The 12,792-nt window shown below is 36.8% G+C and overlaps 1 protein-coding gene across 15 annotated transcripts in view; it reads left to right on the top strand.

Annotated features, from left to right (window-relative positions):
* The window catches only part of CNTNAP4 (contactin associated protein family member 4), a 283,357-nt gene that overhangs the window by 218,561 nt on the left and 52,004 nt on the right, over positions 1–12,792 (top strand). For all 15 annotated transcript variants that reach the window (NR_136216.2, NR_136210.2, NR_136213.2 and 12 more), the window contains one exon: positions 2,606–2,733. Coding sequence is in view for 12 of the 15 variants with exons in the window: in NM_001322189.2 (NP_001309118.1) it covers positions 2,606–2,733 (128 nt within the window). In the remaining 3 variants the exon portion in view is untranslated. The remainder of the gene's footprint in view (positions 1–2,605; positions 2,734–12,792) is intronic.

The following is a 12,792-nucleotide window of genomic DNA, read 5'->3' on the forward strand; positions in this document are numbered from 1 at the left end:
AAACATCATTTAGTTGGGAAACTAATATTTCATTTAGTTGGGAAACATCAAGATTATGTTATATCATACATCAAGATTATATCATACAACAGATTATGTTATATCATAAACATCAAGATTATGTTGTGTGTGTGTGTGTGTGTGTGCGTGTATTTCTTTTAGAATTGCACTTACTTTTAGTGTTACATGTTTGGTATGAAGAATATTGTCTCTCTTACTTAAACTCTCATTTTTCAAATTTCTACTCCCTTTGGAAGGCACCCTTTTCTTATCACTACTTTCACAAAAAAATACCTACACAGTAATACTGTATTTTAAAATGTTCATAAAATGCTAGTAGTAATGCTTAGCAACAATAAAAATTACCTAATCATCAATAACTCTCCAATGCCTCCATAACATATTGCTAATTAAAAATGACTTTTAAAAATAAGATTATAAAACTTCTTGTATTAAATTCCGCTAATGGTGAAGTAACTTGCATAGAGCTAACCCTTCTCAGATAATTGTTGTAAATCCAGGAAAAAAATGTTAGAAAAACAACTACTTGAAATAAGCAGAAAGTAACCAAATGTTGGCAGAAACTGCCCATGTGTTTACAGCAAAGACAATATCCCAGATATAGAGATAGGATTGAAAATTAAGCAAAATTCACACAGGCTCCACCTAATGAACTATCAAACCAAACAATGGCAATTTATTGTGATAAGGCTGTGATTTAACTGCCTATGAAAACAAAAATGAAATCTTTAAAGAATAACAAAAGATTCTGGAATCTTTACAATGTATCCATGATATCCAGCATGTTATAACATTTACTGAATATTCAAAAAAGAGTACATTTTCATCTAAAGTCAAGAAATTAAGAGCAGTTATTACAAACCAACCTTGGGGTACTGATGTTTGAATTGGCAGAAAGAAACTTTACAGCAACTATTATAAAAATATTTGAAGACTTAAAGGTAAAAATAATCACAATGTGTAAACAAAGGGTATTTTAAGTAGATAAGTGAGAACTGTAATATGGAACCAAAGGTAAATTTTAGAATAGAAAAGAGCATCTGAAATAACAAATTCTAATAGAAATTCTTCAGGCTAAAGAGAAATAATGGATGAAAACTCAGATCTTCAGGAAGAAGTGAAAAGCACTGGAAATTGCAAATATGTTGGTAAATATAAAAGCCAGTGTTTAAATTATTTTCTTAATTAAAAAATTAAATTCACTGTTTACTTTTATTATAAAGTTTATAACATATGGATTTACAATATATTACAGCAATAGATAAAAGAATATGTGTGTGGAGGGGAGCAGCGTTAAATGAATTATGTCTTAGCAAGCTTCTGACATTTCACATTGTTAAAAAACATAATGTCTAAATAGACTGTGATAAATTAAGAATTTACTTTGTAATCTGTAAAGCAAACATTGAAATACAATAAATATAGCTAAAATGTGAATAAAGAAAATAAAATGAAATACAAAAAATATGGAATAAACCAAGAGGAGGCAGCAAAGGAAAATGGAAGTACAAGAAATCATATGGGGGGCAGCCATAAAAAAGGATGAGTTCATGTCCTTTGTGGAGACATGGATGAAGCTGGAAACCATCATTCTCAGCAAAATAACACAGAAACAGAAAACCAAACACTGCATGTTCTCACTCATAAGGGGGAGTTGAACAATGAGAACATAAGGACATGGGGGGGAACATCACACACTGGGTCCTGTTGGGGAGTGGGGGGATAGGGGAGGGATAGCATTAGGAAAAATACCTAATGTAGATGATGGGTTGATGGGTGCAGCAAACTACCATGGCCCGTGTATACCTGAGTAACAAACCTGCATGTTCTGCACATGTATCCTAGAACTTAAAGTATAATAAAATAAAATAAAATGCTACAACATTTCAAAAAATAAAAAAGAAATCATATGGGGGAAACAAAAGAAATAGCAAAATGGTAGACCTCAAACTGCAGTATCAATCATTACACTAAATGTTAATGTATTAACCAATTCCAGTAAAAAGGTAGAAAATTGTCCATTGAATTAAAAAATCTCCAACTGTGTTCTATTTTTAACATATGCTATATTTTATATTCTCTATTACATATTTTCTACAAGAGACATTTAAATGTCATTATGTTTTGGCCAGGCCCAGTGGCTCACACCTGTAATCCCCGCACTTCGGGAGGCTGAGGCAAGTGGATCACTTGAGGCCAGGAGTTCAAGACCAGCCTGGCCAACATGGCAAAACCCTGACTCTACCAAAAAATACAAAAGTTAGCTGGGTGTGGTGGTACACATCTGTAATCTCAGCTACTTGGGAGGCTGAGGCACAAGAATGGATTTAACCCAGAAAGAGGAGGTTGCATTGAGCCAAAACTGTGCTACTGCACTCCAGCCTGGGAGACAGAGTGAGACCCTGTCTCAAAATAATAATAATAGTAAATAAATCAAATGTCATTCTGTTTTTATGTGCTCCGATGAGTGACTGGATCCATACTCTTTTGTAGGTGCAAATTTAGTTCAGAACATCTTGGTTTTGCAATGCAATAAGGACTATTAAAAGTTCTTAAGAATTTTGTTGTTGCTATTGTTTTTTAGGACCAATGACACTGGATTGCTTGCTTATAAAGAACATCTTCCAGTAACTAAGATCGTGATTACAGACACAGGCCGACTGCATTCAGAAGCAGCTTATAAACTGGGGCCTCTGCTCTGCCAGGGAGACAGTAAGTGGTTACAATGTGTTGAAACCGTATTTGAGAAAAGAACCATGACTTAAAGTACCATCACTTAAGCATCACGTTTCTATCATATAATAACTAATCAGACTTCTATTGTGAACATTTTTTTTGTTTGTTTCCACATACATGAGGTGCCTTTAGTAGTCAAATTCATAGACAGAAAGTAGAATGGTGGTTTCCAGGGACTGGGGACAGGAAAGAATGGGAAGTTACAGTTTAATGAGTACAGAGATTTGGGAGATGAAAAGATGAGTTTTAGTGATGGTTACACAACAGTGTGAATGGACATAATGCAGTTGAACTGTAAGTACACTTAAATGGTAAAAATTTCAAATTTTATGTATCTTTTACCACAATTTTTTTTTTTTTTTTTTTTGAGACAGAGTCTCGCTCTGTTGCTCAGGCTGGAGTGCAGTGGCGCGATGTTGGCTCACTGCAAGCTCTGCCTCCTGGATTCACGCCATTCTCCTGCCTCAGCCTCCTGCACAATTTTTTTAATTAAAAAAACTCTTTAACTATCTGAAGGCTACTATCATGACCCTTGGAATAATCTTCAGAGTAGACACATTTATTTCCTTCAACCATTCTTCATGTGACATGATTAAAGTCCATTCATACCTCCAGTCACTCACCTCTGAATGTTCTCCAGCCACTATACCCCTGTTTGAGACTGTAGACCTCAATATGACACTGACCAGTTAAGAATGGAAAAGGCCTATCACTGCCCTCAATATGGCTACTAGATTTGGTAATTCAGCCAGACTTCCTACTAATTTATTACAACGCTGTTTATTTCTATAGAGCTAATTTTCTAGATAAAACTCCAAGTTCTTTTTTATTTATTTATTTATTTATTTATTTTAGTATTTATTGATCATTCTTGGGTGTTTCTCGGAGAGGGGGATTTGGCAGGGTCATAGGACAATAGTGGAGGGAAGGTCAGCAGATAAACATGTGAACAAAGGTCTCTGGTTTTCCTAGGCAGAGGGCCCTGCTGCCTTCCGCAGTGTTTGTGTCCCTGGGTACTTGAGATTAGGGAGTGGTGATGACTCTTAACGAGTATGCTGCCTTCAAGCATCTGTTTAACAAAGCACATCTTGCACCGCCCTTAATCCATTTAACCCTTAGTGGACACAGCACATGTTTCAGAGAGCACGGGGTTGGGGGTAAGGTTATAGATTAATAGCATCCCAAGGCAGAAGAATTTTTCTTAGTACAGAACAAAATGGAGTCTCCTATGTCTACTTCTTTCTACACAGACACAGTAACAATCTGATCTCTCTTTCTTTTCCCCACATTTCCCCCTTTTCTATTCGACAAAACCGCCATCGTCATCATGGCCCGTTCTCAATGAGCTGTTGGGTACACCTCCCTGACGGGGTGGCGGCGGGGCAGAGGGGCTCCGCACTTCCCAGACGGGGCGGCTGGGCAGAGGTGCCCCCCACCTCCCAGACGGGGTGGCAGCTGGGCGGGGGCTGCCCCCCACCTCCCTCCCGGACGGGGCGGCTGGCCTGGCAGGGGCTGCCCCCACCTTCCGGACGGGGCGGCTGGCCGGGCGGGGGCTGTATTGTGAACATTTTTAAGTACGGTCTGAAATACTCTTTCAGTCAGTCAACAAATAAGTACTCCTATGAGGTACAAAGCTATGATGGCAAACTTTGTTAAGGTTCTAAGAGAAAGAAACCACTGGGCATCTCAACTTGATTAGTTCATGAGTACATTCCAGCATTCCTGAATTTCTAATTGCTGTTACCCACATAGGAAAGCCTCAGTGCTAAACACAGTTATTAATAATTCATGTGAATTTCCTACTGTTAGGCCTGGGATGAAATTAGAATGTCAATGGAATCATGTCATTTTAACCCCAAATATATTTCACCTGTAAATCTCTTTTTTTTTTTCCAGTTTGTGTGTGTGTGTGTGTGTGTGTGTGTCTGTGTGCATTTACTTTAAACCAGTGGTGCATGCTGTTTTGCATATGCAATGCATTAACACCTTAAACCAGAATTTTAAAGTTCAAATATAGTTCCACTATATTTATGTTCCATATATACATATATATGTTTTATATATATATATTTTCTTTGATCAGGGAATGAAATGAGCATATGTATTCATTTATAGATTGTTAACCTCTCTGAAAATAGTTAGATTAGCGACTAGTGCATTAAATATGTATGCTTTTAGTACTTCCAGAACTTAAAATGGAAATAGATGAAATATTTGTTTACATTAACACCACGCCTTAAAATAAAATTTTATGCTAGGGGCACAACAGAATAAGAGGGAATCTGATAATTCAGTGGATTTATGGAGACACAGAGCAGAAGTTGCTTAGTTAAAAAGCAAAGATGATACTGGCCTTAAAAATTATATATACATTGTAAATACTGTTTACCATTATACTCACCATCTCTGATATGTATCACCTCTACTTCCTGTTCTACCAGTGAGCCTTACACAATCCCATGAAGATGATATAGGATATTTCATGGGAAGAAAAATTATGTGCAAAGAGATGAGGTTGTAAACTTCGGATGCATCCAGGAGAGTGTAACGATTTTTCATGGCTGTAGAGAAGTTGTTTTATACATCACGTGTACCTTTCACTTCTTGCTCTGATCTTAACCCTGCAGGGACCCAGGCTGGCTTCCTCTGCCTTCCTTATTTCATTAGCCAAAACCCCTGCCTATTTGTATGTTTTAAGTGAGGTCCCTACCAACTCTCTCCCTTAGACTTTCTTTCTCCCAGACTTCCTGTCATCATTTTAAGCACACAACATCATTCCACTTAGAGCAGTGATTCTCCATCCAAGGCAATCTTGCCCTGCAGTGGACATTTGGCAGTGTTCGGAGACATTGTTGGTTATCACATTGTTGGGGAGTGGGATGCTACTGGCATGTAGTGGGAGAGGTCAGGTTTGCTGCTAAACATCCTACAATGCATGAGACGGCTCTCCACAGAGAAGAATTATCTGGCCCCAAATGTCAGTAGTACTGAGGCTGAGAAACTAGAGCTTTGAACTACTGTGACCATGGGAATACAGAGGGGAGCTACTACATTAGCACTAAGAATTTACGGCCGGGCGCGGTGGCTCACGCCTGTAATCCCAGCACTTTGGGAGGCCGAGGCGGGCGGATCACGAGGTCAGGAGATCGAGACCATCCCGGCTAAACGGTGAAACCCCGTCTCTACTAAAAATACAAAAAATTAGCCGGGCGTAGTGGCGGGCGCCTGTAGTCCCAGCTACTTGGGAGGCTGAGGCAGGAGAATGGCGTGAACCTGGGAGGCGGAGCTTGCAGTGAGCCGAGATCCCGCCACTGCACTCCAGCCTGGGCGACAGAGCGAGACTCCGTCTCAAAAAAAAAAAAAGAATTTACAAATAGTTTCAAGTATTTAGAGACCCACTAATTAATCTCTGACTTATTAATTAAACAGTAATCAAGTGATTGGTCTTCTTGCCTCCTGTACCTATTTTTAGCGTTGAGGTTCATCGTCACGTGAGGTTATTTTCTGCATGAAGGACTAAGGACTAAGGACTATTTTCTGCATGAAGCGTTCTTTATTTTCTCAGTTGGATGAGCAGTGGCTTCAGAACAGCGAATACTCCTTTTTTCCATATGGGAAATCTGTACCACTTAAGTTACAACGCCATAGGTACTTTTTTTTTTTTTTTTTCATTTCCAAGTGAGGCTCACTGGACAGATATAGGACTAACAGATAGAGGATCATGCACGGTAGGCCTTATAAGCAGAGAAAAGCTGCATGGACATTACTTTGAAGGCATCAGGACTACACATTGAATAATTTAAGACTGAGAAATAACTTAATTCTCATGATTCAGTTGAAAGCCTGATGATCAGTTATAAATCTAAAGATCAGTCAAGTGACCTCTGATGTAAGACAAGGAAAAGATGAGAGCTTGAACTAGGCAATGATTGGCATGGAGCTTTAAAAGGGGGATCAACTACGAGGTAAATTCGATATGATTTAGATGTAAGATTGAGAGTTAAAGCCTTGGGGATGATCTCCAGCTTTCTGATTTGAATAAAGCCATTAGTGTCATTCATTGAGACAGGAGATTAACACTTTTTTTTTTTAACAGAAAAAAAAGTGAGAATGAAAAAAGTAGTATTTTCATTTTCTCACACAAACGAGAGATATTGAAAAATGTAGATCAGCCATGTTTTTCTAGGAAAGAAGGTGAAGTTGTGGGAAAGCAGGACAAATAAAACATGACTGTTGGACCTACTAGTACCGGTTATGAGGTTACCCCAATTTATTTATGTTGTCTTTTTTCAAAGCTTTCTTTTCGTTTTGTTTTCAATTTCATTTTACTGCTGCTATTATTGTTGATATCAGAAATCAACTAGCAAACTAGGAAATAAGAGAACTTCCTCCATGGCATAAAGGACATCTGTGAAAATCTGATAGCTAATGTCATACTTTGAATAGTCAAGGATATAACTGCTTTCCCTTTAAGTTCAGGATAAAGGCAAGAATGTCTGCTCTCACTACTCCTATTCAATCTATTACTCATGGTCCTAGCACATGTAATAAGTCAAGGAGAGGAATTCAAGGCATTTATTAAGTTGCAGCAAAAGTTAATCAACCTGATTTTAATGGCAAATCAGGTTGCCATTAAAAGAAGTGGCAAAAACTGCAATTACTTTTGCACCAACCTTAAGTGAGAATGAATGAAATAAAATGTCTGTTTACAGGTAACATGACTTTCTAGGTAGAAAATCTCAAATTATATTTTTAAAAAGTGAGTTTAGCAAAGTCACAGGATTCAAGGTCAATATTCAAAAGTGAATTATATATTTTTTATTATTATACTTTAAGTTCTAGGGTACATGTGCACAATGTGCAGGTTTGTTACATACGTATACATGTGCCATGTTGGTGTGCTGCACCCATTAACTCGTCATTTACATTAGGTATATCTCCTAATGCTATCCCTCCCCCTTCCCCCCACCCCACAACAGGCCCCGGTGTGTGATGTTCCCCTTCCTGTGTCCAAGTGTTCTGATTGTTTAATTCCCACCTATGAGTGAGAACATGTGATGTTTGGTTTTTTGTCTTTGCGATAGTTTGCTGAGAATGATGGTTTCCAAAAGTAAATTGTATTTCTATATGCTAATGATAAAAAATTATAAATGATATTTTAAAAGTACCATTTTTATACTAGCACCAACAACATAAAATATTTTGGTGTAAATATAACAAATTATTAAGAAAAAATTAAGAAAATTATATTTAAAAATTTATGAATTAAAAGATTTGATAAGATGTCAATTTTTCCCAAATTTATATATAGACTGAAAACTATCCCAATTAAAATCCAGCAATCTCTTTTTTGGGAGGGGAGTAGAAATTGGAAAGCTTATCTTTAAATGTATATTGAAATGCAAAGAAAGTAGAATAGCAAAAATGTTTTGAAAAATATAAACAAAGTTTGAGATACACTACTAGATTATAAGACTTACTGTAAAACTAACAGATATTCAAGGAAGTGTGATATTGACATTACAATAGACAAATACATGAATGGAATAGAATAGAGAGCCCAAAAATAGACCCATGTATACATGGTTGCTTGACTTTTTACAAAGCTACCAGGGGAACTCAATGATGAAAGGATAGAATTTTTCAAGAAACAGATCTGGAACAATTCGAATCCAATTGAAAAAGAAAAGCAGAATGAAAAAAAAAAGAGTGTCAATTCATACTTCAAAGCAGATACAAAAATTAACTCAAGATTAATCATAAACTTAAATCTAAAACCACAAACTATAACACTGCTCTAAGAAAATACAAGGGAAAATCTTAGTGGCCTTGGGTTGGGCATAGATTTCTTAGATACAACACTAAAAGTACAATTCATAGAATAAAAATAATAATAAATTGGGTTTCACTAAAAAGCTTCTGCCTTTAAAATGACACTGTCGAGAAATTGAAAAGAAAAGCTACAGACTGGGTGAAAATCTTTGCAAAATACATGTTTTATAGAGGCTAATACCCAGAATATAAAAGTAACTCTCTCGTGGTGCAATAATATTTGAAAAATCAATTTACAAATGGGCAAAAGATTTGCACATACACATCACAGAAAAAATATGGATTTAAATAAACACAGTAAAGATCCTTAGCATCATTAGTTATTAGGAGAATGCAAACTCGTACCACAATGTGATACCAATATGTAACTGTTAACATTTAACAAATAATAATAACAAAAAAACCCCAAAATATAACAAGTGCTAGTAAGGATTTAGAGCAACTAGAACTCTGGTACATTGCACTACAGATGCAAAATGGTACATACTGCTTTGGAAAAGAATTTGGTTTCTTATAATGTTAAACCCACATTTACCATATGACCCAGCAATCCCCATCTTAGGATTTTATCCAAGAAAAGAGGAAAATCTATATGCATATAGTCAGTTTTTTGTTATTATTATTGGCTTTATTCCATAGTCCCCTAAAAATGAAAACCACTCAAATGTTTATCAACTAGTGAAAGGATACACGTTCCATTTTACTGTGGTGTACCCACAATACACAGTGGAATACTACTAAACAATTAAAAAATAGACTATTGATAACGTGCAACAACATAGATGAATCTCAACTGCATTACTCTAAGTGAAAGAAGCCAGACTAAAAAGCCTACATGCTTTGAATGATTCAATTTCTAAGATATTCTGGAAAAGTCAAAACCATAGGAACAGAAAAAGGATCTCTGCTGCAAGAACTTTGAGGTGAGAGGAATTTTACACAGGGGTACAAGAAAACTTTGTCAGGTGAACAAAATGTTCCATATCTTGAGGGTGGTGGTGTTTTTATGGTTTCAGGTCCTTTTCAACTTCTAGAGCTACACACAAAAACAGGCTGAGTTGTACTCTATATAAATTACCATAACATTAATATATTTTAATAAGTAATAAATGATGTCTTATTCAACACATCTGACTGAAAAACAAAACAAAAACGTTAATAACAGTTTGCATAGCTATACTTGCTTAATTTTAAGAATTGGAGGCTGAGTGCAGTGGCTCAAACCTATAATCCCAGGGCTATAGGAGGTCAAGGTGGGAGGATTGCTTGAGACTGGGAGCTCGAGGCTGCAGTGAGCTATGATTGCACCACTGCACTACAGCCTGAGCAGCAGAGTGAGACCTTGTCTCTTACAAAACAAAATTGGGTCATCAAAACAAACAGAGAAACAACCGACCACTAGAAGTAAATTCATGGAACAGTAAAGATTTCAGTAATATGGATATTCTCCAATTCTCCAGCACATTTCTGGAATCGTGCTGAATATGTTTCTAACTTATATTGACTTTAGAAACTTTAGAAAAAGAGTCAAAGGAAAGAATCAAGGGGAAACATCTGGGTTTATCAGTTAGTAGAAAAGTCATGAGTAGGAGGAGTCACCTATATATTTCCTACGTAATCAGCCTGCCAAGAGCAGTGGGAACGTATTTATTTTTGAGGAACCATCCAAAGTCTTTTAGACCAACAGTTCCTCCACTTTAGCATGTATAAAAATTACTTGGAGAGCTTGTTGTAGCACAGATTTCCACTCCTTATCCCAGAGACTGTGATTCAGGGGGTGTGGGGGTAGGAGAATCTTTCCTTATCTCCCTCCCTCCCTTCCTCCCTTCCTCATTTCCTTCTTTCCTTCTTTCCTCCCTTCCTCCCTTCCTTCCTCCCTTCCCTTCCCTTCCCTTCTTCCCTCCCCTTCCGCTTCTCTTCCGTTCCTTTTTTTTTTTTTTTTTTTTTTTTGACAGAATTGCCCTCTGTTGCCCCGGCTGGAATGCAGTTGGCTCATTGCAAACTCCGCCTCCTGGGTTCAAGTGATTCTCCTGCCTCAGCCTCCCAAGTAGCTCGGATTACAGGCGTGTGCCACCAGGACCAGTTAATTTTTGTGTTTTTAGTAGAGACAGGGTTTCATCATGTTGGCCAGGCTGGTGTCGAACCCCAGACCTCAAATGATCTGCCCACCTCGGCCTCCCACAGTGCTAGGACTACAGGCATGAGCCACCCCACCTGCCTGGGTATGAGAATTGCTAACAGGCTTCCACATGCTGCTGCCGGTCCATGGACCACTCCATGTAGTGCTGCCCCCAGCCAGTGAGGTTCACAGGCTGGTACTGGTCTGCACATTCTTTGCTACCATTCTGTGAGGAGGCTAGTACAAAAATATAGAGTATTTCAGAATGACTTCTGCCATTTGGACAGAGTAATTTATGTCTGTTGGACATAATAGTAATAAAAAATGGACTGGAGATAGTATTTTGTATACCTTTGCTTTTCCCATTCATTTTTCTAGCAATTTACATTTTTAATTTTTAATTTTAAAAATGTAAAATTTTCGTGGGTACATAATAGATGTATATATTTATGGGATACATGAGACATTTTGTCACAGGCATGCAATGTGTAATAATCACATCATGGAAAATTGGGTATTCACCCCTTTAAGCATTTATCCTTTGTGTTACAAATAATCTAATTATACTATTTTTGTTATTTTAAAATGTACAATTACATTATTATTGACTGTAGTCACCATGTTTTGTCGTCAAATACAAGGTCTTATTCTTTCTAACTATTTTTCTGTACCCATTAACCATCCCCACCTCCTACTGGCCTCCCATTCTCTTTGCCAGCCTCTGGTAATCATCCTTCTACTCTTTGTCTCCATGAGTTAAATTGTTTTCATTTTTAGACCTCACAAATAAATTAAAACTTGCAATGTTTGTCTTTCTGTACCTGGCTTATTTCACTTTACATAATGACCTCCAGTTCCATCCATATTGTTGCAAATGATGGATTCTCATTTTATATGGCTGAAATAAAAAGAGGAAAAAAAAGCACATTTTTCTATATAGGTAGTTTAAGACTCACAGCTCTAGGTCAAAGGTTGGGTATGAAGTGGACCAATGGTGCTGACATAGGGCCTGCCCAAGTGTTCTAACTGTAGTTGCAGTATGTTCAGAACCAGAAACAGAGTTTCAGAGTAGAAGCCTAGGCATTCATACACAGGGTTAAACCTACTTTCTTGACACACAGCAAGAAGAAGTCTACAGAGACTTTGTGCTACTTCAGTGAATCTTGCAACACAAAGGGAGTTCCTGGACCACGATGGCATCTGGCTCTACGTCCTTGTCACTCACTCTCCCTTATCTGCAAAATCTCCCTAATTCTTTTACCAAACCCTTTCACACTCAGATTAAAACTCTTCCACCATGATTTCTAGATGACCTAGTCATTCTGCGTTCTCAAAACATGTTTAGCATATTACAAAGATATCTTTCTCATACTGGCTTTTAATTATTTTTGAGCCCCTCAAGAGCAGGGTACATTCCTCATTTATTCTTGTGTTCCTGATAACTAATGTATTACCTATTGCACAAAAGATAATCAATGAATAACAGTTCATGAAATAAAGAGAATGATTTAATATATGCATGTAAAGAAACCTACAGCTTATGAATTATTAGTAAGAGACATGAATACATTTTTGGTTCTATAAGCAATTAAGTAAATATATACTTTTACTAAAAGGAGTTTAGACTCTATTGAGTTATTGATTCTGATATAAAAATCACATAGTAGAAGAATGTCTAGTTCCATCTAAGCCATTTCTCATCAATATGCCTGAAGTTGTAATAGTGAAAGTACTTTCAAATAAGAATATAATTTTAGTTAATATTAATTTTTTTTAACTTTTCACTCAATACAGTGCCTTTATTAAACTGAAATGATTGCCCCTTCTTGGAAAATAGATTATTTTATGGTCTATTTTGCTTTTTTTTTTTGTTCACTTTTTTATTACCAACCAATAATTTATATGCAAGAAACTTGATCAATGTGAGGGAACAAAAATTGTTTTTAGTACTTTCAAAAGGTTTTCACTTTGGAACCCTGATAGTTGTCAGGACCATGGTATCCTTTTGGGGGAATTTTATACATATGCATACCTTTAGTTAATTGTCTTAAATATTAATGACTGACTTGATACAAAATCATAAC

This window comes from Homo sapiens, chromosome 16 (genome assembly GCF_000001405.40).
Source record: "Homo sapiens chromosome 16, GRCh38.p14 Primary Assembly".
Classification (NCBI taxonomy): Eukaryota; Metazoa; Chordata; class Mammalia; order Primates; family Hominidae; genus Homo; species Homo sapiens.